Raw genomic sequence first — 26,291 nt, 5'->3', positions numbered from 1 at the left:
AAGGCTGGGACTGCAATGTAAACTCATATTCCCAAGGGATCAATTAAGCCAGAATATCCCACAGTTTGTCTATAACAAGACAATGGGGCTTTCTGCAGCCCTCAAAACTCTCAAGTGAGGAAAAATTGTTAAGCCTTCAGATTTTAACCAAGCAGACCAGAAGGTGGTATATAGCCATAGCTTATTAAAAAGCATTTCAGATAGAAAAGGCGGTGCTGTAATTTCAGATCTGAGAAATGAAACTGAAACCAAACCTATATTCTTCCTTCCCCAACCTCCCAGTTGTTAAACACGCCCTGCTGTTTCTGAGCCAATTAGAGCTTGCTGTGAGACAGAAGCAGAGAATACATAGACTTCCGTTAAAACCAGAATGAGGAAAATACTTTTCTCTAGCATCGTAGGAGGAAGAAAACAAACACATCAGATATTTTCAGCACTAAAAGAGATGGTTTTCCCCACATATATGTAAAAGAAATTTGCAAGACTACTGGGTAAGTACAATATCTATTATTAATATTGTTCTTACTATCTATAGCAGCATTTTATTGAATAGAAAGAAATATACTTTTCAATTAGAAGCTTCAAATATACCTCAAAACAAAAAATAGTATTCTAAGCCTAGAAATTCTAGACTATTTGTTGCTCTGACAGCAGTCTGCTTTATATTAGTTGAAAAATTAGTCATAACATTTCATTAAAGATGCAGTTGAAAACTACAGACACTTTTATTGATGAACTCTCCCAAGGCATACAGCATCTTCAGAAAGAACAAACAGGCCAGGTGTGGTAGCCTGTAATTTGAGCACTTTGGAAGGCAAGGACAGGAGAATTGTTTGAGGCCAGGAATTCAAAATTAGCTTGGGCAACATAGCAAGACCCTACCTAGCAAGATTCCTACCAAAAAAAAAAATAGCTGGATGTGGTGGCACGCAGCTGCAGTCTAGCTACTTTGGAGGCTGAGGCAGAAGGATTGCTTGAGCCCAGGAATTTAAGGTTACAGTGAGCTGTAATTGTACCACTGCACTCCAGCATAGGCAACAGAGTGAGACACTGTCTCAAAAACAACAACAACAACAACAACAACAACAACAACAAACGGAAAGATAGATAAAGAACAGGCAATGAAAACTTAAAAGTACTTTACTTTAATCAAATACAACTTCCACCATCTACTCTAAGAAATAGGTAGCTTCCAGAAAACAAAACTCTCTGAGAGCTTCTCAGATATTGTTGTCGGATGACATACATAGGAAGACAGACAGACAGATAGACTACTATGGGAAGTCTTTGGAATTAAGGCAGCTTTATGTTCCTGGCAAAAATACTAGGTTTATGTCTAATTTCTCCCCAAAGCAAACAGTAAGATAATGCAAGACGGTTGGAGGATCACATTTCTGAATAAAGGTCTGACCTTCAACTCCCTTCTAGAAAAGTTAACAAACCCTACAGTTTAACACCAACCAGAGTTAAAAAATGTATGTGGGTTCAATCAGTAACAAATAGTGTTTCCTACTAAGATGCTCAGAACCAAATTTTCAGGTCAGTTTTTAAAGTATACGGAATCAAAACCAGTAATTTTAGGTACTAATTTTACTCCCTCATTTCACCTTTTCTCCCCCTACCCTTATTTAGCCTTCCCCATGATTTCTTTACCTAAGGGTTTTAATATATGTGTGATCCTATATTACTTTCTAAATTACCTAAAAAACATTTTGGAACGAGAGGGTATAAAGAAATCATTAATATGTAAAATATCTATGAACAGTGGCATAAATACCTATGAATGCTGGCATATATTTTCTCCAAGAGTGACATCATCAACAATTTTTTTAAAATAATGTATTGAAAGGCACAGCTATCAATAATCTGACAAAAGCTTTAGGGGAAGAAGTGTGAAAGTGTAACCTGTTCAATGACATTTGAAATATTCATAGTGTCTCTAGTAGAGAAAACAGTCAAAAGTCACTTCTTTATTATTTGCTTACTTTCCCAACCAAATGTTCAGGCCCAGTTCTCCATCCCCCACACTCTTATATGAGAACCTGACTTTACGTTTTCACATATAATGGTATGTAGTTCTTGCATGAATCAAATAATCCATCTAATTCACCAGTCTCATAATCTAGTTTATGACATATCACCAGAGACTAAGGACTGTGTCTGTAAAACTGTGAAAGGTCCAAGTTGATGAAGGAAGTCAGGGAGACCCTAGGAAAAGGGTACTGGTGGGAAGCGGCGAGATGGGGGATGAGAGCCATAGGTATGAGGCCTCAGGAGCCAGCGCACGCTAGCAGCACAATAATCGGGGACCCCTGCTTTATGTGTTAAATAGTGTGGGTGCAACAAAAGTGAGCATACTTTCATAGGGTGGAGTAGACGTGACTCAGTAAATGGATACAAGAAAGTGACTCAGATAGAATGGTTACTAGACGAGGGTGTAGTCAGTTTTTAGACAACTCTAAAACCAGTATTGAATCAACACTGAGTGGGATGCAGAAGTCAAAAGTTCATAATCTGAGACTGCAATAATAAACACCTAGTAAAACTTTAGGACCTCACATACCATTGAATTCACAATTATCCTTGATTCATAACACACCATCATCTTTTTTATGCAAGTATCTCTTTTATTTTATTCATCCGTTTTATTTTCTAATGTATTTTGGAGGCATTATTGGCTTTTTAAATACAGTATAACTTGTATACAATGAACAAACTTAAGGGTAAGCCTTTATGAAATTTTAATATGTACTTATCTGTGCAACCGCTAGCCATATCAAGATATAAAATATTTCCATCACCCCTTCCCAGAAAATATCCACCCCCCAACATCAGTCTGACTTCTATGACAGATTACTTTTGCCTATTCTTAAACTATATAAGTAGAATTCTACAATATGTTTTCTGTTGTAACTGGCTTCTTTCACACAGTATGATGTGATATTCATTCATGTTGTTGCCTGTATCAGTACTTTAATAATTTTCATGAGAATTGCAGATCCAAAGAGTAGGTATATATTTAACTTCACAAAAACTGATAGTTTCTTGAAGTGGCTAAAACAATGTACATTCCCACAGACAGCATATGAGAGCTCCACTGACTCCACATCATCACCAACATTTGGCATTAACAGTCTTTAATTTTAGCCATTCTGGTAGGCATGTAGTATTATCTTGTTGTAATTTTACTTTGCATTTCCATTACGGTAAACATTTTGGAACACTTCTAATTGCACTTCATTAGACCCGCCCCTGTGACTATGAAAATCCCCACTGGTTTTCCTCCTCCCGGTAGGCCAAGTCTAATCCTTAAACCCAACCCCAAATCAACAAATGCCCCCAAAGCTTACATAGACAGGGATCTTTCCTCTCTGGAATTTTAGTTCATCCAGTCCTTGTCATCTGGTCTATTGATGACTTTGTGATTACTTAAAAATATGAGTTTTGCAATTTTTCAGATTTTGATCTCATGGTTGCAGTGGGTGAATAGGTGGCCTTTTGTGATCTCCTACATCACCCTGGAAGTGAGACTTCTTCGGTTTCTTCTAGAGTCAGTTTGGTAAGCTATATTTTTTAAGAATTTGCTCAATTAATCTCAGTTTTCAATTTATTCAGTTAAAGTTGGTTCATTTTTAAAGTTTCTAATATTGCTTATTTGTGCCACCTTTCTTTTTTATTTTTTGGTTAATCATTCCATGGATGTGTCAATTTTATTACTTTTTATCTAAACAGCTCTTGGACTTCACTGAGTCTCTCTTGTCATTTTGTTTTCCACTTTATAAATTCCTGCTCTTATCTTTATTTTTCTCATTCTTCTTATTTCAGTTTTATTCTGTTATTCTTCTTTCAATTTATTAAACTGGCATTAGGTTCATGATTTTCAGTCATTCCTCCTTTTTTAAAAAACTATACTTTAAGTTCTAGGGTACATGTGCACAACGTGCAGCTTTGTTACATATGTATACATGTGCCATGTTGGTGTGCTGCACCCATTAACTTGTCATTTACATTAGGTATATCTCCTAATGCTATCCCTCCCCCCTCCCCCACCCCACAACAGGCCCCAGTGTGTGATGTTCCCCAACCTGTGTCCCAGTGTTCTCATTGTTCAGTTCCCACCTGTGAGTGAGAACATGTGGTGTTTGACTTTCTGTCCTTGGCAACACTTTGCTCAGAATGATGGTTTCCAGCTTCATCCATGTCCCTACAAAGGACATGAACTCATCCTTTTTTAAGGCTGCATAGTATTCCATGGTGTATATGTGCCACATTTTCTTAATCCAGTCTATCAATGATGGACATTTGGGTTGGTTCCAAGTCTTTGCTATTGTGAATAGTGCCGCAATAAACATACGTGTGCATGTGTCTTTATAGCAGCATGATTTATAATCCTTTGGGTATATACCCAGTAATGGGATGGCTGGGTCAAATGGTATTTCTAGTTCTAGATCCTTGAGGAATTGCCACATTGTCTTCCACAATGGTTGAACTAGTTTACAGTCCCACCAACAGTGTAAAAGTGTCCCTATTTTTCCACATCCTCTCCAGCACCTGTTGTTTCCTGACTTTTTAATGATCCCCCATTCTAACTGGTGTGAGATGGTATCTCATTGTGGTTTTGAGTTGCATTTCTCTGGTGGCCAGTGATGATGAACATTTTTTCATGTGTCTGTTGGCTGCATAAATGTCTTCTTTTGAGAAGTGTCTGTTCATCTTTTGCCCACTTTTTGATGGGGTTGCTTGATTTCTTTTTGTAAATTTAAGTTCTTCATAGATTCCGGATATTAGCCCTTTGTCAGATGGGTAGATTGTAAAAATTTTCTCCCATTCTGTAGGTTGCCTGTTCACTCTGATGATAGTTTCTTTTGCTGTGCAGAAGTGCTTTAGTTTAACTAGATCCCATTTGTCAATTTTGGTTTTGTTGCCATTGCTTTTGGTGTTTTAGTCATGAAGTCCTTGCCCATGCCTATGTCCTGAATGGTATTGCCTAGGTTTCCTTCTAGGGTTTTTATGGTTTTAGCTCTAACGTTTAAGTCTTTAATCCATCTTGAATTAATTTTTGTATGAGGTGTAAGGAAGGGATCCAGTTTCAGCTTTCTATATATGGCTAGCCAGTTTTCCCAGCACCATTTATCAAATAGGGAATCCTTTCCCCATTGCTTGTTTTTGTCAGGTTTGTCAAAGATCAGATGGTTGTAGATGTGTGGTATTATTTCTGAGGACTCTGTTCTGTTCCATTGGTCTATATCTCTGTTTTGGTACCAGTACCATGCTGTTTTGGTTACTGTAGCCTTGTAGTATAGTTTGAAATCAGGTAGCATGATGCCTCCAGCTTTGTTCTTTTGGCTTGGGATTGACTTGGCAACGCGGGCTCTTTTTTGGTTCCATATGAACTTTAAAGTAGTTTTTTCCAATTCTGTGAAGAAAGTCATTGGTAGCTTGATGGGGATGGCATTGAATCTATAAATTACCTTGAGCAGTATGGCCATTTTCATGATATTGATTCTTCCTATCCATGAGCATGAAATGTTCTCTCATTTGTTTGTGTCCTCTTTTATCTCATTGAGCAGTAGTTTGTAGTTCTCCTTGAAGAGGTCTTTCACATCCCTTGTAAGTTGGATTCCTAGGTATTTTATTCTCTTTGAAGCAATTGTGAATGGGAGTTCACTCATCATTTGGCTCTCTGTTTGTCTGTTATTGTTGTATAGGAATGCTTGTGATTTTTGCACATTGATTTTGAATCCTGAGACTTTGCTGAAGCTACTTATCAGCTTAAGATTTTGGGCTGAGACGATGGGGTTTTCTAAACATACAATCATGTCATCTGCAAACAGGGACAATTTGACTTCCTCTTTTCCTAACTGAATACTCTTTATTTCTTTATCCTGCCTAATTGCCCTGGCCAGAACTTCCAACACTATGTTGAATAGGAGTGGTGAGAAAGGGCATCCCTGTCTTGTGCCAGTTTTCAAAGGGAATGCTTCCAGTTTTTGCCCATTCAGTATGATATTGGCTGTGGGTTCGTCATAAATAGCTCTTATTATTTTGAGATATGTCCCATCAATACCTAGTTTATTGAGAGTTTTTAGCATGAAAGGCTGTGGAATTTTGTCAAAGGCATTTTCTGCATCTATTGAGATAATGATGTGGTTTTTGTCTTTGGTTCTGTTTATATGATGGATTACGTTTATTGATTTGTGTATGTTGAACCAGCCTTGCATCCCAGTGATGAAGCCCACTTGATCATGGAGGATAAGCTTTTTGATGTGCTGCTGGATTCGGTTTGCCAATATTTTATTGGGATTTTTGCATCGATGTTCATCAGGGATATTGGTCTAAAATTCTTTTTTGTTGTGTCTCTGCCAGGCTTTGGTATCAGGATGATGTTGGCCTCATAAAATGAGTTAGGGAGGGTTCCCTCTTTTTTCTATTGATTGGAATAGTTTCAGAAGGAATGGTACCAGCTCCTCTTTGTACCTCTGGTAGAATTTGGCTGTGAATCCATCTGGTCCTGGACTTTTTTTGGTTGGTAGGCTATTAATTGTTGCCTCAATTTCAGAACCTGTTATTGGTCTATTCAGGGATTCAACTTCTTCCTGATTTAGTCTTGGGAGGGTGTATGTGTCGAGGAATTTATCCATTTCTTCTAGATTTTCAAGTTTATTTGCATAGAGGTGTTTATAGTATTCTCTGATGGTAGTTTGTATTTCTGTGGCATTGGTGGTAATATCCCCTTTATCATTTTTTATTGCATCTATTTGATTCTTCTCTCTTTTCTTCTTTATCAGTCTTGCTAGCAGTCTATCCATTTTGTTGATCTTTTCAAAAAACCAGCTCCTGGATTCATTGATTTTTTTGAAGGGTTTTTTGTGTCTCTATCTCCTTCAGTTCTGCTCTGATCTTAGTTATTTCTTGCCTTCTGCTAGCTTTTGAATGTGTTTGCTCTTGCTTCTCTAGTTCTTTTAATTGTGATGTTAGGGTGTCAATTTTAGATCTTTCCTGCTATCTCCTGTGGGCATTTAGTGGTATAAATTTCCCTCGACACACTGCTTTAAATGTGTCCCAGAGATTCTGGTATGTTGTGTCTTTGTTCTTGTTGGTTTCAAAGAACATCTTTATTTCTGCCTTCATTTCGTTATGTACCCAGTAGTCATTCAGGAGCAGGTTGTTCAGTTTCCATGTAGTTGAGCGGTTTTGAGTGAGTTTCTTAATCCTGAGTTCTAGTTTGATTGCACTGTGGTCTGAGAGACAGTTTGTTATAATTTCTGTTCTTTTACATTTGCTGAGGAGTGCTTTACTTCCAACTATGTGGTCAATTTTGAAATAAGTGCGATGTGGTGCTGAGAAGAATGTATATTCTGTTGATTTGGGATGGAGAGTTCTGTAGATGTCTATTAGGTCCACTTGGTGCAGAGCTGAGTTCAATTCCTGGATATCGTTGTTAACTTTCTGTCTCGTGGATCTGTCTAATGTTGACAGTGGGGTGTTAAAGTCTCCCATTATTATTGTGTGGGAGTCTAAGTCTCTTTGTAGGTCTCTAAGGACTTGCTTTATGAATCTGGGTGCTCCTGTATTGGGTGCATATATATTTAGGAGAGTTAGCTCTTCTTGTTGAATTGATCCCTTTAGCATTATGTAATGGCCTTCTTTGTCTCTTTTGATCCTTGTTGGTTTAAAGTCTGTTTTATCAGAGACTACAATTGCAACCCTTGCCTTTTTTCGTTTTCCATTTGCTTGGTAGATCTTCCTCCATCCCTTTATTTTGAGCCTGTGTGTGTCTCTGCACATGAGATGGGTCTCCTGAATACAGCACACTGATGGATCTTGACTCTAACCAATTTGCCAGTCTGTGTCTTTTAATTGGAGCATTTAGCCCATTTACATTTAAGGTTAATATTGTTATGTGTGAATTTGATCCTGTCATTATGATGTTAGCTGGTTCTTTTGCTCGTTATTTGATGCAGTTTCTTCCTAGCATCGATGGTGTTTACAATTTGGCATGTTTTTGCAGTGGCTGGTACCGGATTTTCCTTTCCATGTTTAGTGCTTCCTTCAGGAGCTCTTGTAAGGCAGGCCTGGTGGTAACAAAATTTCTCGGCATTTGCTTGTCTGTAAAGGATTTTATTTCTCCTTCACTTATGAAGCTTAGTTTGGCTGGATATGAAATTCTGGGTTGAAAATTCTTTTCTTTAAGAATGTTTAATATTGGCCCCCACTCTCTTCTGGTTTGTAGAGTTTCTGCCAAGAGATCTGCTGTTAATCTGATGGGCTCCCCTTTGTGGGTAACCGGACCTTTCTTTCTGGCTGCCCTTAATATTTTTTCCTTCATTTCAACTTTGGTGAATCTGACAATTATGTGTCTTGGAGTTGCTCTCCCCGAGGAGTATCTTTGTGGCATTCTCTGTATTTTCTGAATTTGAATGTTGGCCTCCCTTGCTAGGTTGGGGAAGTTCTCCTGGATAATATCCTGAAGAGTGTTTTCCAACTTGGTTCCATTCTCCCCGTCACTTTCAGGTACACAAATCAAACGTAGATTTGGTCTTTTCATATAGTCCCTTATTTCTTGGAGGCTTTGTTTGTTTCTTTTTACTTCTTTTTCTCTAAACTTCTCTTCTGGCTTCATTTCATTAATTTGATCATCAATCACTGATACCCTTTCTTCCACTTGATAGAATCAGCTACTGAAGCTTGTGCATGCGTCACGTAGTTCTTGTGCCATGGTTTTCAGCTCCATCAGGTCATTTAAGGTCTTCTCTATGCTGTTTATTCTAGTTAGCCATTCATCTAATCTTTTGTCAAGGTTTTAACATCTTTGCAATGGGTTCAAACATCCTCCTTTAGCTCAGAGAAGTTTGTTATTACCAGTCGTTTGAAGACTTCTTCTCTCATCTCATAGAAGTCATTCTCTGTCCAGCTTTGTTCCGTTGCTGGCGAGGAGTTGCATTCCTTTGGAGGAGAAGAGGTGCTCTGATTTTCAGAATTTTCAGCTTTTCTGCTCTGGTTTCTTCCCATCTTTGTGGTTTTATCTACCTTTGGTCTTTGATGATGGTGACGTACAGATGGGGTTTTGGTGTGGATGTCCCTTCTGTTTGTTACTTTTCCTTCTAACAGTCAGGACCCTCAGCTGCAGGTCTGTTGGAGTTTGCTGGAGGTCCACTCCAGACCCTGTTTGACTGGGTATCAGCGGCAGAGGTTGCAGAACAGCAAATATTGCAGAACATCACATTTTGCTGTGTGATCCTTCCTCTGGAAGCTTCATCTCAGATGGGCACCTGGCTGTATGAGGTGTCGGTCGGCCCCTACTGGGATGTGTCTCCCAGTTAGGCTACTCAGGGGTCAGGGACCCACTTGAGGAGGCAGCCTGTCCATTCTCAGATCTCAAACTCCATGCTGGGAGAACCACTGCTCCTTTCAAAGCTGTCAGACAGGGATGTTTAAGTCTGCAGAAGTTTCTTCTGCCTGTTGTTCAGCTATGCCCTGCCCCACAGGTGGAGTCTACAGAGGCAGGCAGGCCTCCTTGAGCTGCTGTGGGCTCCACCCAGTTCAAGCTTCCTGGCCACTTTGTTTACCTACTCAAGCCTCAGCAATGGTGGACGCCCCTCCCCCAGGCTTGCTGCCGCCTTGCAGTTCAATCTCAGACTGCTGTGCTAGCAGTGAGTGAGGCTCCGTGGGTGTGGGACCCTCTGAGCCAGGCGCAGAATATAATCTTCTGGTGTGCTGTTTGCTAAGACCATTGGAACAGCACAGTATTAGGGTGGGAGTGTCCCAATTTTCCAAGTACCGTCAGTCATGGCTTCCCTTGGCTAGGAAAGGGAATTCTCCGACCCCTTGAGCTTCCTGTGGGATGCGATGCCCTGCCCTGCTTTGGCTCACACTACTTGGACTGCACCCACTGTCCAACAAGCCCCAGTGAGATGAACTCAGTACCTCAGTTGGAAATGCAGAAATCACCTGTCTTCTGTGTCTCTCACACTGGGATCTGTAGACTGGAGCTGTTCCTATTCAGCCATCTTGGAACCCGGCCCTGTGCTTTAGACTCGGCACCCTATGGCTTGAGGAGGTGACACTGTGTCCACATGCGTGTGAAGGGAGGACGGCTGAAGGTACATGCAGTCCCCCGGACATCACAAACTTTGCGGACACAAGTCACACCTGCGCGCACACACAGCAGAAGCCTTAGCCACACAGGCGCATGGCGAGGCACGGCAAGGCACGGCGGGCCACACCCATTCTTCCATTTTTATAAATACATCCAAGGCTATACATATTTCTCCAAGTATTGTAGACATTGTTCCTTACAACTCTTTATATGCAGCATTTTTATTACTGCTCAGTTCTAAATATGGATACCATTGCAGTTTTTTATTTTTTGAGTAAAATTTTATTTAAGATTATTGTAGATTCATATGTAGTTGTAAGAAATAATTTGATATTCTGTGTACTCTTTACCTAGCTTCCCCAATAGTAAAATCTTATAAAATTATAGTACAAAATCGCAACTAAGATATTGCCTATCTTTGCCTATTTTGAATTGATATAGCTGTAAGGTATGTTGCTTATTCACTTTCTATGTATACCGTAGTTACATATGAAAAAAATAATAGCTTAAACCTTGGACCATGGCTCTGGCATCTTCATGTCTTGAAAGAAAGGTAAATTCTAATCCTGAGTTTGTATCTGCCACTAGAAAACAATATTTCTGTGTATTATTTCATGAACTTGGGCCTATATAATAATTTATCTGCCACCATTCCCCAGGCTGTCTCCATTATTTAATTTGATGTCTCCCATGATAAATGAAAGTTTAGTTCATTAAAATGTCTCACAATTTTGGATCATACTTAAAGCTGACTATTATTATTTGAATTTCATTTTTTCTAACCATTGCTATATTTCTGTAGCCTAGATTGACATTAATTTTTCAGATAGTAGTCTGCAAATTTGCAAACTAAATAATTATGCCACAAGTTATTGCTCAGGAATCAGCTCTTATTAATTATTATGTGAAAAATTAGTTTAATACAACAGTAGCCAACAAGTTCACTACTCAGCAAGCTATTCCAGATGACATGGAACAGAACAGCTCACAGACAAAATTAAGATGCTTGAAGGGCATATTTTTAAAAATCAATTAAAATAACACAACAAGGCCAGGCATGGTGACTCACGCCTGTAATCCCAGCACTTTGGGAGGCTGAGGCAGGAGGATCACTTGAACCCAGGAGGCAGAGGTTGCAATGAGCCGAGATCGCGCCATTGCACTCCACCCTGGGCAACAAGAGCAAAACTCCATCTCAAAAAAAAAAAAAATTAAAATACCCAACAACACAACAAAGAGGTGGTCAACACATCTTGGGTAAGGAACAAGAAGGGTAGAAGGATCTCATTACCTGAGTTGTGCAAGTTAATATATCTTCTCTCTTCCTCTCTGATGTTTCAGCATTCTCCACTGATTGTACAATTTTGAGAAACAGAGTTGAGGTCTGTTTAAAGGGTCTTGGCAGATGGAAGAGGTCCTGGGTCAATGACATACACTTGCTGTAATCAGAGAAATGCAGAGGGATGAGTATGCCTGGCCACAGATACAGGTCATTAGCCTGATAAGCTACTATGGATTTTACTGATGTTTCTTCAATGGAGAACACAAATGATTAGAATGGGTGTCACCAAATAGGTAACCAAATTTAGACCTGAAAAACAGCAAATGCTTCATGTGTGTCTCATGAATATTTACTATTTGGTTCTTATATCCCTTTCTAACTATGCTTAATACTCATATGCTCTATTTACTTTATCTATGTCTATCATGATGTATCTCACAAACTTGCTTCTGTACTTAGTTTCAAATATCCTTCTTTTTTCTCTTATTTTCTATAGCAGAATTGAACGTTCTTAAATAATACAGCAAACACACATTATAGCAAACAATCATTAATAAGGATAAACTATCTCTATATATACTGACTGGAAGCATTCCCAAAATTTACTTAGTGAATGAAGCAAGAGAATTATGTATAGTATGCCACAATTTATGTGGGAAAAGTGTGTTCATGTGTTTGTATTTGGTATTCTTTCTCTGGAGGGATGCAGAAGAAACTGGCAATAGTCACATTCTCTCAAGAGATAATTCATTGGCATATCCTTTTGAGCTTTTTAAATTTTGAAAATTATGTATATATTATCTACTAAAATTGTTTCAAAATTTTACTTTTAATAATACTAAATAATTTTTCTTTTTCTACATATAGGTATCAGAATGGCAAAGCAACTTAACCTTCCAGAAAATACAGATGATTGGACAAAAGAGGATGTAAATCAGTGGTTAGAAAGTCATAAGATTGACCAAAAACACAGGGAAATTTTGACTGAACAAGACGTGAATGGAGCAGTCTTGAAGTGGTTAAAAAAAGAACATCTTGTTGATATGGGCATCACACATGGACCAGCTATTCAAATAGAAGAACTATTCAAAGAATTGCGGAAAACAGCCATTGAAGATTCGATTCAGACATCTAAGATGGGAAAGCCCAGTAAAAATGCTCCTAAAGACCAAACTGTGTCTCAAAAGGAACGTAGAGAAACTTCAAAGCAAAAACAAAAGGGTAAAGAGAACCCAGATATGGCTAATCCGTCTGCAATGAGTACAACTGCTAAAGGTTCTAAGTCACTAAAAGTTGAGCTCATAGAAGATAAAATAGATTATACAAAGGAAAGGCAACCATCCATAGACCTGACATGTGTATCATATCCATTTGATGAATTCAGTAATCCATATCGTTACAAGTTGGATTTTAGTCTACAGCCTGAAACAGGACCAGGCAATCTCATTGATCCGATACATGAATTCAAAGCCTTCACAAATACAGCAACAGCCACAGAAGAGGATGTCAAGATGAAATTTAGCAATGAGGTTTTCCGATTTGCTTCAGCTTGTATGAATTCACGTACCAATGGCACTATTCATTTTGGAGTCAAAGACAAACCCCATGGGAAAATTGTTGGCATCAAAGTCACCAATGATACCAAGGAAGCCCTCATTAACCATTTCAATCTGATGATAAACAAGTATTTTGAAGACCATCAAGTCCAACAAGCAAAGAAGTGCATTCGAGAGCCAAGATTTGTGGAAGTTTTACTGCCAAATAGTACTCTATCTGACAGATTTGTTATTGAAGTGGACATTATTCCACAGTTCTCTGAATGCCAATATGATTATTTCCAGATTAAAATGCAAAATTACAACAACAAAATATGGGAACAAAGTAAAAAATTCTCACTATTTGTGCGAGATGGGACCAGCTCTAAGGACATTACGAAAAATAAAGTTGATTTCAGAGCATTTAAAGCAGATTTTAAAACACTGGCAGAGTCCAGAAAAGCAGCAGAAGAAAAATTCAGAGCAAAAACAAATAAAAAAGAAAGAGAGGGACCAAAGTTGGTTAAATTATTGACAGGAAATCAAGATTTGTTAGATAATTCATACTATGAACAGTACATTCTTGTAACAAATAAATGCCACCCAGATCAAACAAAACACTTAGATTTCCTGAAGGAAATTAAATGGTTTGCTGTATTGGAGTTTGATCCTGAGTCTAACATCAATGGAGTGGTCAAAGCTTACAAAGAAAGCCGAGTAGCAAACCTTCACTTTCCAAGTGTATATGTAGAACAGAAAACCACACCAAATGAGACGATTTCTACTCTAAATCTTTACCATCAACCCAGCTGGATTTTCTGCAATGGCAGGTTAGACCTTGACAGTGAAAAATATAAACCCTTTGATCCAAGTTCCTGGCAAAGAGAAAGAGCTTCTGATGTCAGGAAACTGATTTCATTTCTTACACATGAAGACATAATGCCAAGAGGGAAGTTTTTGGTGGTATTTCTATTACTGTCCTCTGTGGATGACCCAAGAGATCCCCTCATTGAGACTTTCTGTGCTTTCTACCAGGATCTCAAAGGAATGGAAAATATACTGTGTATTTGTGTGCACCCACACATATTTCAGGGATGGAAAGATCTACTTGAAGCAAGATTAATAAAACACCAAGATGAAATTTCAAGCCAATGTATTTCTGCTTTAAGCCTTGAAGAGATCAATGGCACTATTCTTAAACTAAAATCTGTGACTCAATCTTCAAAAAGGCTTTTGCCATCTATTGGTTTATCGACTGTCCTTCTGAAAAAGGAAGAAGATATCATGACTGCTCTGGAAATTATCTGTGAAAATGAATGTGAGGGTACACTGTTAGAGAAGGACAAAAATAAATTCCTTGAATTCAAGGCATCAAAAGAGGAAGACTTCTATCGAGGTGGCAAAGTGTCATGGTGGAACTTCTACTTCTCTTCTGAAAGTTATTCTTCACCTTTTGTCAAAAGGGATAAATATGAAAGACTTGAAGCAATGATTCAAAACTGTGCAGATTCTTCTAAACCAACAAGTACCAAAATTATTCATCTGTATCATCATCCAGGCTGTGGGGGAACTACCTTGGCTATGCACATTCTCTGGGAACTAAGGAAGAAATTCAGATGTGCTGTGCTGAAAAACAAGACAGTGGATTTTTCTGAAATTGGAGAACAGGTAACCAGTTTAATCACCTATGGGGCAATGAACCGTCAGGAATACGTACCTGTACTACTCCTTGTTGATGATTTTGAAGAACAAGATAATGTCTATCTTCTGCAGTACTCTATTCAAACAGCTATAGCTAAAAAGTACATTCGATATGAAAAACCTCTGGTGATTATCCTAAATTGTATGAGATCACAAAATCCTGAAAAAAGTGCAAGGATCCCAGACAGTATTGCCGTAATACAGCAACTCTCTCCCAAAGAACAGAGAGCTTTTGAGCTTAAATTGAAAGAAATCAAAGAACAGCATAAAAACTTTGAGGATTTTTATTCCTTTATGATCATGAAAACCAATTTTAATAAAGAATACATAGAAAATGTGGTCCGGAATATCCTGAAAGGGCAGAATATTTTCACCAAGGAAGCAAAGCTCTTTTCTTTTCTGGCTCTTCTTAATTCATATGTGCCTGATACCACCATTTCACTATCACAGTGTGAAAAATTCTTAGGAATTGGAAACAAGAAGGCTTTCTGGGGGACAGAAAAATTTGAAGACAAGATGGGCACCTACTCTACAATTCTGATAAAAACAGAGGTCATCGAATGTGGGAACTACTGTGGAGTACGCATCATTCACTCTTTGATTGCAGAGTTCTCACTGGAAGAATTGAAGAAAAGCTATCACCTGAATAAAAGTCAAATTATGTTGGATATGCTAACTGAGAATTTGTTCTTCGATACTGGTATGGGAAAAAGTAAATTTTTGCAAGATATGCACACACTCCTACTCACAAGACACCGCGATGAACATGAAGGTGAAACAGGAAATTGGTTTTCCCCATTTATTGAAGCATTACATAAAGATGAAGGAAATGAAGCAGTTGAAGCTGTATTGCTTGAAAGTATCCATCGGTTCAACCCAAATGCATTCATTTGCCAAGCGTTGGCAAGACATTTCTACATTAAAAAGAAGGACTTTGGCAATGCTCTAAACTGGGCAAAACAAGCAAAAATCATAGAACCTGACAATTCTTATATCTCAGATACACTGGGTCAAGTCTACAAAAGTAAAATAAGATGGTGGATAGAGGAAAACGGAGGAAACGGGAACATTTCAGTTGATGATCTAATTGCTCTTTTGGATTTAGCAGAACATGCCTCAAGTGCATTCAAAGAATCTCAACAGCAAAGTGAAGATAGAGAGTATGAAGTGAAGGAAAGATTGTATCCGAAGTCAAAAAGGCGGTATGATACTTACAATATAGCTGGTTATCAAGGAGAGATAGAAGTTGGGCTTTACACAATCCAAATTCTCCAGCTCATTCCTTTTTTTGATAATAAAAATGAGCTATCTAAAAGATATATGGTCAATTTTGTATCAGGAAGTAGTGATATTCCAGGGGATCCAAACAATGAATATAAATTAGCCCTCAAAAACTATATTCCTTATTTAACTAAATTGAAATTTTCTTTGAAAAAGTCCTTTGATTTTTTTGATGAATACTTTGTCCTGCTAAAACCCAGGAACAATATTAAGCAAAATGAAGAGGCCAAAACTCGGAGAAAGGTGGCTGGATATTTTAAGAAATATGTAGATATATTTTGTCTCTTAGAAGAATCACAAAACAACACAGGTCTTGGATCAAAGTTCAGTGAGCCACTTCAAGTAGAGAGATGCAGGAGAAACCTAGTAGCTTTAAAAGCAGACAAGTTTTCTGGGCTCTTGGAATATCTTATCAAAAGTCAAGAGGATGCTATAAGCACTATGAAATGTATAGTGAACGAATATACTTTTCTCTTAGAACAATGCACTGTCAAAATCCAGTCAAAAGAAAAGCTAAATTTCATCTTGGCCAACATTATTCTCTCCTGTATCCAACCTACCTCCAGATTAGTAAAGCCAGTTGAAAAACTAAAAGATCAGCTTCGAGAAGTCTTGCAACCAATAGGACTGACTTATCAGTTTTCAGAACCGTATTTTCTAGCTTCCCTCTTATTCTGGCCAGAAAATCAACAACTAGATCAACATTCTGAACAAATGAAAGAGTATGCTCAAGCACTAAAAAATTCTTTCAAGGGGCAATATAAACATATGCATCGTACAAAGCAACCAATTGCATATTTCTTTCTTGGAAAAGGTAAAAGACTGGAAAGACTTGTTCACAAAGGAAAAATTGACCAGTGCTTTAAGAAGACACCAGATATTAATTCCTTGTGGCAGAGTGGAGATGTGTGGAAGGAGGAAAAAGTCCAAGAACTTTTGCTTCGTTTACAAGGTCGAGCTGAAAACAATTGTTTATATATAGAATATGGAATCAATGAAAAAATCACAATACCCATCACTCCCGCTTTTTTAGGTCAACTTAGAAGTGGCAGAAGCATAGAGAAGGTGTCTTTTTACCTGGGATTTTCCATTGGAGGCCCACTTGCTTATGACATTGAAATTGTTTAAGAGCCTGATATTCTTCCTCCAAGAATTTGATCTCAGTACCCATTTAATTTTTTTGGACTCAAGATCTATGCTTTAAACCGGCAAGGTTATAGATACAGCCTCTAGCTCTTCAGATCTGTACATGCAGTATTTAATTTCCTCTTAAACATGTTATGAGTTCTACAAAGACAATAGTGAAAAAGGAAGGAGTGAGATATATGAAAAGTAGCAAATATGTTCCTTGGTTTGGTTAACATCATTGATGACAAAATAATAAGGAGCTATGACTGGAGTCAGGAGAAGTTAGTGTAATAAGCTGGCTACACAGAACCCCACTACTTACCAGGCATGGATTGAAGAAGATTGTCTACTCAAATGGCATTTAGACATTAGAATGTCTGGGAAAATATTTCTCAAAGACAGCAAAAACCTCTCAAACTGAGGAGCAACATTTATTCTTACTAAGCAGATCATCAATGTATCATGTGCTTGGCACTCAAGGATCTTCCAAAACAGAGGACCAACCAGTCTTCTGAAGGTCATGCCCACAGAAGTCATCAGACCTTACCAAAGTAGGTTGGAGAATTAGATTGCCTTTTCATGCAGTGAGATTCAGTTAAGCAAAAATGAAATTTGTCTCTATAGCTAATTAGCTTATCAACTCCCCTCCAAACAAACAATTAAAAAAAAAACATACAGACACTCAAATTCCACAAGCTAATGAACAAAAGGGACTCTTGTGAGAAGACTAATGAGTCCCTCATCCAGAAGATGCCAATGTACTGGCAGATTAACATACAACCTATGTTTTGAACAAAAACAACCAGCGATACGTAATCAAAATGTAATTTTCCCCTAATAAAATTATGGATATGGGCAGTCATCAATGGCTGCCAAAACCATTAAGTGGAAAGCTGATTAAAAAACAAAAATTTCTAATGGATTTATCAAACTGTCCCAAATCCTGATAAATATTAACATCACAGAGGAAGACCAGACATTATGGGCCTGGAAGTACTATAGGAGTGCACACATCACCCGTGACATGGTCTTGCCAAATAATTAAACCTGAATTTGATCAGGTCTCTGGATCTTATTTGCAATTCAAAAGAAATTTTAAAAAAATCCTACTAACACCACCACAAATATGCAATCAGCAATATCCAGAAAGGGGAAATTCACAGGACAAAAACCTGGTTTTCTTTTTTGGTTTCTTCAACCAAAAAAGAAAGAAATTGCAAAGGACCAAAAAAATGTTGGGGAATCTATACATTATAAGGGACTTAACAACTAAAGGGCAACATATAGACTTTAGATCCTAATTTGAGCAAAATCTAAAATCAATTATTAGGCAATCAGAAAAATTTGAACACAGACTAGATATTTGAGGATATTAAGGTACTATATTATTGAAGATTCCATGGTTATGTTTTTTAAAGAGTTCATGCCTTTTAGAGATACATACTAAAGTATTTGTAAATAAATGACATGATCTAGAATCAGTAATTTTGTGTTTGGGGTGTGGGGGTGGTGAAAGGGAAGTAGAACCGAAACAAGATTAGTCCTGAGTTAACAATGGCTGCAAGCTGGATACATGGAATTCAGCACACTTTTCTCCCTCTTACTGATTATGCTTTTGAAATTTTCTCTTGTAAAACATTTAGAAAACAAAAACAAAAAAAATGTGATTTGTTTCTGTCTTCAAAATCTCATTAGAATTTTTTCACTGGAGGAAGATTTTCCCTTGCTTCTGCATAAAATTTTAACTCCATAACTTATAAGCTCACTCTTTATTGTTACTTTCTAATTGACAAATAAAAATTGTATATTATTTATGGCGTTCAGCCTGATGTTTTGATATAGATATATACTGTGAAATGACTAAATGAAGGTAATTAATATATCCATCACCTCTCAAGCCTGCTTGTGTGTGTGATGAGAACATTTAAAATCAACTCTCTTAAAAATTTTCAAGTGTACAATAATTATTAACTATAATCATTGTGTTGTACAATAGATTTCCAAAATTTATTCCTCCTAACTGAAACTTTGTACCCTTTGACCAACATCTCATTTCCCACTACCTCCCTCACTGCCCCTACAACCCTGGAAACCACCATTCAACTTTCTGCTCCTATGAGTTTAGCTTTTTTAGATTCCACATCCAATCTGAAATCATGCAGTATTGGTCTTTCTGTGCCTGGCTCATTTCATTTCAGCTCAATTTTTAAAATGTAAAAGAAATCCTCTGGTCAAACGGAGTTTCAATTAGAATGTCCAGTCACGTTTTTCTCTGAAGCCACTTCCCAGTCTGCCCCAGGTTTCAGTTCACTCTGCACAGAATTGTATCTTCTGGACTCCTGCCTTCTGGGGTGATTCTTTTGAACTCAAATTAAGCCAGTTTAGGCAGATGTTCTGTCCCCCGTGACCTGCCTTGGGGAACAGGAAACACTTATGGGTGTTTGTTCTGCCATTGGTAGGGAGTGAAGGTAATTTCCAGTTTGGGGAACAACATGTGTTGTAAATTCGGAGGGACACAGGTAAAGCGCTTCAAGTGAACCTTTTGAAGGCCCCCTCTCTCAAGGCTTGAGAGAAGGTTCTCATAGGGGTATGAGAGAACTTTCTCCAAAAGAACCTCTTCATAAGCCCTTATTTCCTCAATGCCAGCAGTGGGCAACCTACAGCCTCTGGGACAAATCAAGCCTACTGCTTGTCTTTGTAAATAAAGTGTTATTGAAACATAGCCCTGCTCATTTGTTGAAGTATTGTTTGTGGCTGCTTTTGCACTACAACAACAGAGCTGTGTAGCTGCCACAGAAACCCTACGGGCCACAAAGTCTAAAACATTTACTATCTGGCTCTTTACAGGAAAAGTTTGTTGACCCCCGCTCTATGCAGTTAACTCTTCTATTATGTCTTTATTATAGGTCAATTGTCAAATTGGTTCTTGAACGCCCTACTTTGAAAATATGCATTTTGGTTCATCACCTCTTTTGGTATCTAATTTTTATCATTTTAGAGCCAAAGTTAAATTTTAACATTTTTTAACAGGAAAAAAAGTCAATTTTCATATTATAATAATTCAGACCCACTTTTCCAAAGAACACCAGTGTAATAAATGTGTGTGAGTTTTCGTTCTGAAAATTTAAAAATTCCTGAATTGTGCAGGATCAATTTAACAGGCACCTTAATCTATCATAATTCTCTTTACCTATTTAGTTTTATATTTCCTTAGAACTATGAATTTGAGGGAAACATATTCAGACCATAGCATTCTACCTTTGACTCCCTAAATTTATATTCTTCTCATATGCAAAATACATTCATTCCATCCCAGTAGCCCCAAAAGTCTAACTTGTTCCAGTACCAGCTCCAATGTCTAAAGTCCGGAGTTTAATCTATATCAGTTACAGGTGAGACTTAAGGTATGACTCTTCATAAGGCAAATTCCTTTCCAGCTGTGAGCCTGTAAAATCAAACAAGTTATGTGCTTCCAACTACAATGGTGGGACAAGCATACGATAAACATTCCTAGTCCAAAAGGGAAAAATAGGAAAGAAGATCCCAAGTCCCAAGTAAGTCCAAAACACAAAGCAAACAATATTAAGTTTTGAGGCTTGGGAATAATCTTTTCTGACTCCATGCCGTGCCTTCTGCACACACTGGAGTGGAGGTTGGGCCCCCAATCCCTCAGACAGCACTGCCTTCATGGCTTTGCTGGGTGCAGCCCATGCAGCAGCTCTTAGGGGTTGAAGTCGAGTGCCTGAGGCTCTCTCAGGCTGGCACTGCACATTGCACACTGGTGGCTTTACAAGTCTGGGATCTCAGAGATCATCCTGCTTCCACAATTCCACTAAACATTGCCACAGTGGGGGCTTTCTGTGGTGACCCCAACTCCATAACTCTGTTGGGCATTGCCCTGGTGGGGCCTTTCTGCAGTGGCCCCACTCCTGCTGCTCCAATAGAAATTGCCCTAGTAGGGGCTCTCTGTGTAGCCCCATCCCTGTGGCAGCTCCCTGAACTTTTTATGACTTAATCCCCTCCTGAAGGCTCGATCTCTTAATACTATCACGAGGGTGATTACATTTCAACATATAAATTTTGGGAAGACACATTCAGACCATAACAGAAGGTGAGATTAAAATATTGATTTTCTCTTTCACAGGCCAGCAGTTCTCAATTGAACAGAACTCCTGAAGGTCTTTTCAAGTTGCACATTCTATTTCCCAATTCAGATACAACCTAGGGTGGAAAGACATCAGAATTTTTGTTAACTGTCCCTTTGGAAACCACTAATTAGGTCACTGTAATACACGATAGTTTCCAAACTCAGCGTTGAAAAAGAAAATGTTTATCAACAGTCCCAAAACAAATGGTAGCCTCAACAAAAGAAGTTTAGAAACTATAGCATGCCAAATTTTGCTTCTGGCTATTTAGGATGTGAAAAAAAAAAAGAAAGAAAAAAGCTCTCAGAAAGTAATACCAGAGTGAAGATTATTTGACTTATTTCTCTAAGAACAATAAAATTATTTAATTCCTCATTATTTTTATATCCCTTGCTCCTCCAAAGGTCTCCCTGTTGCTCAACTTAAAATGTGCTTAAAAAAAAAAAGAGTTCATATACACTGAAATAATTATAGATTTTTCACTTTATTGTCAAGAAGCTAATCTCCAATTAAAGTGTGTATACTATTGTTCTCTGTTCTTTTATGTATTTTTAAAACTTAAATATGTATGTACACCACCATCATAATATCATAGCCAAGTTTTAAATTCTATGGCATCCAATATGGCCTGAAAGTCATACCTCACCTCTGAGAACACTCAGGAAAGTCAAAAAGTGCATTTCCTTTCATTAGTGGAAGAAGGGAATTGTTCAGTTTGAAATCCAGAAATCTATCCTTTAGTGATAAGCTATCACCATTTCTTCCTAGTTGAAGTAAATATAATCTAATCCCATATTTTAGTGATTCATTTAAGTTCATGCTCTTCAAGTGAAAATCCTGGCAAGAAACAGATGACACATTTAAAAGTAGTCCTTTGAGGAGAGTTTAATAAAGGAACTATTTTCGAAAGTGTGGAGAGGGAGTAGGGAAGTCTCAAGGGATAAAACAGTGCCCTCAGACTAGCTAGTAGCGTGAGGAGCACCTACTATCCTTATTCCTGAAGGGCAAGAGAAGGGAACTGTTAGCAGGATGGCGGTGGGAGTAAGGTGAGGGCACTTTCTGGAGAGGACTGCTTAATAGGAACTGTGACCTTCAGTGGAGGGATGCAGCCAGCCTGAAGTGCCCCACAAGGAGAAAGCCCAGGGGAATAAATAATATAATTTTACTCTTCTTCCTCTCTTTAATCTCTTGCCTGTGCTTCCCATTGGTTCAAATTCAACCAGAAACTAGAGGACAAGGGAGCCCACTGATACAGTTCATACCGATCAGCAAGGTATGGAAAAGAGGAGAGCGTATATGGAGGGACAAACAAGATATCCAAGCATGGTATCCCTGAAACTCTTTAATTCCTACAACCATCTCCAATACCCATTTAAGTTTGAAACTTAAACGGCATTGACACATGACCTTAAAAAGCAAATTTCTTTCACTATTCCAAAGTGATAACAGTGACATCTTAACTTGATTTTAGTCTTTGTCCATTCACCTGAACTTCTTCCTGTTTTTTAAGAAAGCAGTTGAAGAGGACTTACAGGGAATTATTTAATGGGTATATGCTTCAGAACTGATTTAATTTTGTCTTCGTTCTTAACTATTACTCCCAATACATATCTGTTTCCAATTTATGGAAGTTTTGTGTATGTTTTAGAAGAACTTTAAGCTCCAAAACAGGGGCTATCCTTTCAATCATACCTTGAATCATGTGGCAGGTTTTCAAAGGTGTGTGAACATGGTATGTAAACTGACCAAGGTAGGCAGTGAGATAGAGAGTTCTATCCCTTGTATCTCAACTGTGTTTTCTTGCACTAATGCTTTTATTATTACTATTAATTGTTGTTGTTGTTGTTGTTTTATGTTTGTAGATTATTTTTCTCATTCCCTTGGGAATGCTACAAAAAATTCTAAGGTTAACACTTTATCTCCCCTTTTCACCAGGTTTTTTTTCAATCTATTACTCCAGGTCCTTCGAGAAGCAGATACCAAGAAAGGATTAAATGTGTGAAGATTTTATTAGAAAGAAAGCCTAGGAGTAAAAATTGGGGATCTAGTAAGTCAAGGATGCTTCACTTCTCCTTCACTTGGGTCAGATTTTCATCCCAGTTTGATAGCTCTCTCATTCTTACCAGAATCCAATCATGCTATCATGCTTTCTCTCTCTCTCTCTCTCTCTCTCTCTCTCTCTCGCTGTGTGTGTGTGTGTGTGTGTGTGTGTGTGTGTGTGTGTGTTTATTTGGGAGATATAACAGTCTGTTTGTGAGAGTGACTCATATATATATATCACATGTTATATATATGTCACTCTATATAAGACGTGTGTGTGTGTGTGTGTGTGTGTGTGTGTGTGTGTGTGTGTGTCTTAGCTAGGCACAGTGGCTTGCATCTGTAATCCCAATGTTTGAGGAGGCTGAGGCAGTAGGATTGCTTGAGGCCGTGAGTTTGAGACCAGCATGGGCAATATAGTAAGACCCCTTCTCTACAAAAATTTCAAAAATTAGCTGGGAGTGGTGGGAAACACCTGTGGTCCCAGCTACTTGGGAGGCTGGGGTGGGATTATAACTTGAGTCCAGAAGTTCAAGGTTGCAGGGAGCTATGATTACACCACTGCATTCCAGCCTGGGTGACAGAGCTAGACCCTGCCTCTAAAATTATACATACATACATACATACATACATACATACATACATACATACATACAAAAGGAAGAAGAAAGTAGACAAAACCAGTCTACCAGATTCCAAGACTTATTATTTAGCTATAGTGATCAAGGCTGTGTGGTATTGGCAGAGGGACAGACATAATGGGATAGAATGGAGACTCCATAAATAAACCCACACAATAAGCTCAATTGATTTTTGACAAATATATGAAAGCAATTCAATGGGGAAAGGATAACCTTTTCAATAAGTGGTATGAAGCAATTAAATATCCATAGGCCAAACAATGAACCTCAACCTGAATCTCACATCTTTTTCAAAAATTAACTCTAAAAGAATCACAGACTTGAGATATATATAGATACACACACACACACACACACACACACACACACACACACAGAGTCTGGCTCCATTGCCTAGGCTTGAGTGTAGTGTCATGATCTCAGCTCATTGCAACCTCTGCCTTCCGGACTCAAGCAATCCTCCCACCTCAGCCACCCGGGTAGCTGGGACTATAGGCACATGCCACTGTGCCCAGCTAATTTTTGTATGTTTTGTAGAGACAGAGTTTTGCCATGTTGTCCATGCTGGTCTCGAACTCCTGAGCTCAAGCAATTCACCTGCCTCAGCCTCCTAAAGTGCTGGGATTACAGGTGTGAGCCACCATGCCTGGCCTCACAAACTTAATTATAGAATGTTTAAATTCTGTAATTTGGAGGAGGAGGAGGAGCAAGATGGCTGAATAGAGCCCTCCAGCAATCATCCCCCTGCAGGAACAGCAATTTGAACAACTGTTCATATAAAAATCCACCTTCATAAGAACATAAAATCAGATGAGTGATCTTAGTACCTGGTTTTAACCTACTGATAAGGAAAGAGGCATTGAAGAAGGTAGGAAGGACAGTCTTACATTGCCTACACCACACCTCCCCGAACCCCAGCAGCACAATGTATGGAGATAATCTGTGTGTTTGAAGGAGAAAGAGCAAAGTGAGTGTGAAACTTTGCATTTGAACTCAATGCCACTCTGTCACGGTGGAACACAACACCAAGTAGAATTCTGCCAGTGTCCATGAAGGAAGCATTTAGACTAGCCCTGAGTCAGAGAGAAATTCTCTGTCTCAGTGGGAGAAAGTTTAGTCCTGGCCAGCTTCACCACCAGCCAACTAAAGTGACCTGGTGATATGGTTTGGCTCTGTAGTGTAGAGAACCAAGGATAAACCTAGTCCTTGAAGGATTCACCACCTGCTGACTAAAGTGGCTGTGGGCCTTGAGTAAACATCAGTGGCCGCCAGGCAGTAGTGGCCATGGGCCTTGGGCAAGCACCAAAACTGTGCTGGTCTGGGAGACAATGGGCTTCAGGTACAACCCAGAGCAGTGCCTGCTGGGGTGGCCATAGGAGTGTCCATGTCACCCTTCCAACAGTTCCAGAAGGCCCAGTGCAGAAAGAGAGACTTTTGCTTAAGGAAAAGAGAGGGAAGAGAGTAAGAGACTTTGTCTAGGAACCCAGGGAATTCTCCTTTATCTTCCCCAAGTCCACCAAGATTGTGTATCTAGGAGTCTGCAAAAGCTTCAGTGTTCTTGGGCTTAGGGCACTCCCTAGTGTTGAAATGACTGCAGTAACCATAGGCTTAAGTAGCAATACTCAATACCCTTTGAAATCATGAAAAACCCTCTCAAGAAAGACTGGCATGAACAAGACAAGACTGTGAATACTGGAATAAACACCTAACTTTTCAATGCCCAGACATCAACAAACATCCACAAGCATCAGAAACATCCAAGAAAACATGATCTCATCAGAAAGACTAAATAAGCCACCAGTGATCAACCTTGGGGTGACAGAGATATGTGACCTCAGCCAGGGAATTCAAAATAGCTGTCTTGAGGAAGCATGATGAACTTCAAGATAATACAGAGAAGGAATACAGAATTTTCAATCAGAGAAATTTAACAAAAATTGAAATAATTTAAAATTTAAACCGAAATTCTGAAGCTAAAAAATTTAATTGACAAACTGAAAAATGCATCAGAATATCTCAACAGCAGAACTGATCAAGCAGAAGAAAGTATTAGTGAGCTCAAAGGCAGGTTATATGAAAATATACCACCAGAGAAGAAAAAAAAATGAAGTATGCCAACAATATCTAGAAAATAACCTTAAAAGGGCACATGTAAGAGTTATTAGCCTTAAAGAGGATATAGAGAAAGAGATTGGGATAGAAAATTTATTCCAAGAAATAACAAAGAATTTGCAAACTTATGAGAAAAAATATGAATATCCAGGTACAAGAAGATCAAAGAACACAAAACATATTCAAACCAAATAAAACTACCTCAAGGAGTAAACTAATTAAGTTTTCAAAAGTAAGGATAAAGACAGGATCCCAAAAGCAGCAAGAGGAAAGAAGCAAGTAACATGTAAATGAGCTCCGATATATCTGGCAGCAGACTTCTCAGTG

General features: G+C 38.4%; 1 protein-coding gene across 2 annotated transcripts, besides 2 other annotated features; it reads left to right on the top strand.

Annotated features, from left to right (window-relative positions):
* On the top strand, positions 375 to 18,836 carry SAMD9 (sterile alpha motif domain containing 9). 2 transcript variants are annotated; one of them, NM_017654.4, is made up of 3 exons: positions 375 to 491; positions 3,459 to 3,559; positions 12,249 to 18,836. In NM_017654.4, the coding sequence occupies exon 3, from the start codon at positions 12,257 to 12,259 to the stop codon at positions 17,024 to 17,026; it is 4,770 nt and encodes a 1,589-aa protein (NP_060124.2). In that variant the 5' UTR covers positions 375 to 491; positions 3,459 to 3,559; positions 12,249 to 12,256; the 3' UTR covers positions 17,027 to 18,836. The 2 variants fall into 2 exon arrangements, with proteins under 2 accessions (NP_060124.2, NP_001180236.1); NM_001193307.2 differs by lacking the exon at positions 3,459 to 3,559.
* Positions 9,185 to 10,384: an enhancer, noted in NCBI's record as "P300/CBP strongly-dependent group 1 enhancer chr7:92737283-92738482 (GRCh37/hg19 assembly coordinates)". NCBI's record gives its function as "activates an origin of replication core promoter dependent on BRD2, BRD4, P300/CBP, MED14 and CDK7 cofactors, with strong dependence on P300/CBP, by STARR-seq in HCT116 cells {active_cell/tissue: HCT116}" and the evidence as "EXISTENCE:reporter gene assay evidence [ECO:0000049][PMID:35650434]".
* Positions 25,395 to 25,444: an enhancer, noted in NCBI's record as "active region_26278". NCBI's record gives its function as "activates an Ori minimal core promoter by ATAC-STARR-seq in GM12878 lymphoblastoid cells {active_cell/tissue: GM12878}" and the evidence as "EXISTENCE:reporter gene assay evidence [ECO:0000049][PMID:35858748]".

This window comes from Homo sapiens, chromosome 7 (genome assembly GCF_000001405.40).
Source record: "Homo sapiens chromosome 7, GRCh38.p14 Primary Assembly".
Lineage (NCBI taxonomy): Eukaryota > Metazoa > Chordata > Mammalia > Primates > Hominidae > Homo > Homo sapiens.
This window is presented reverse-complemented; position numbering and strand designations above follow the sequence as displayed.

Coding starts and splice junctions, on each gene's coding strand:
- SAMD9 (NM_001193307.2), top strand. CDS start 12,257: ATGGCAAAGCAACTTAACCTTCCAGAAAATACAGATGATTGGACAAAA.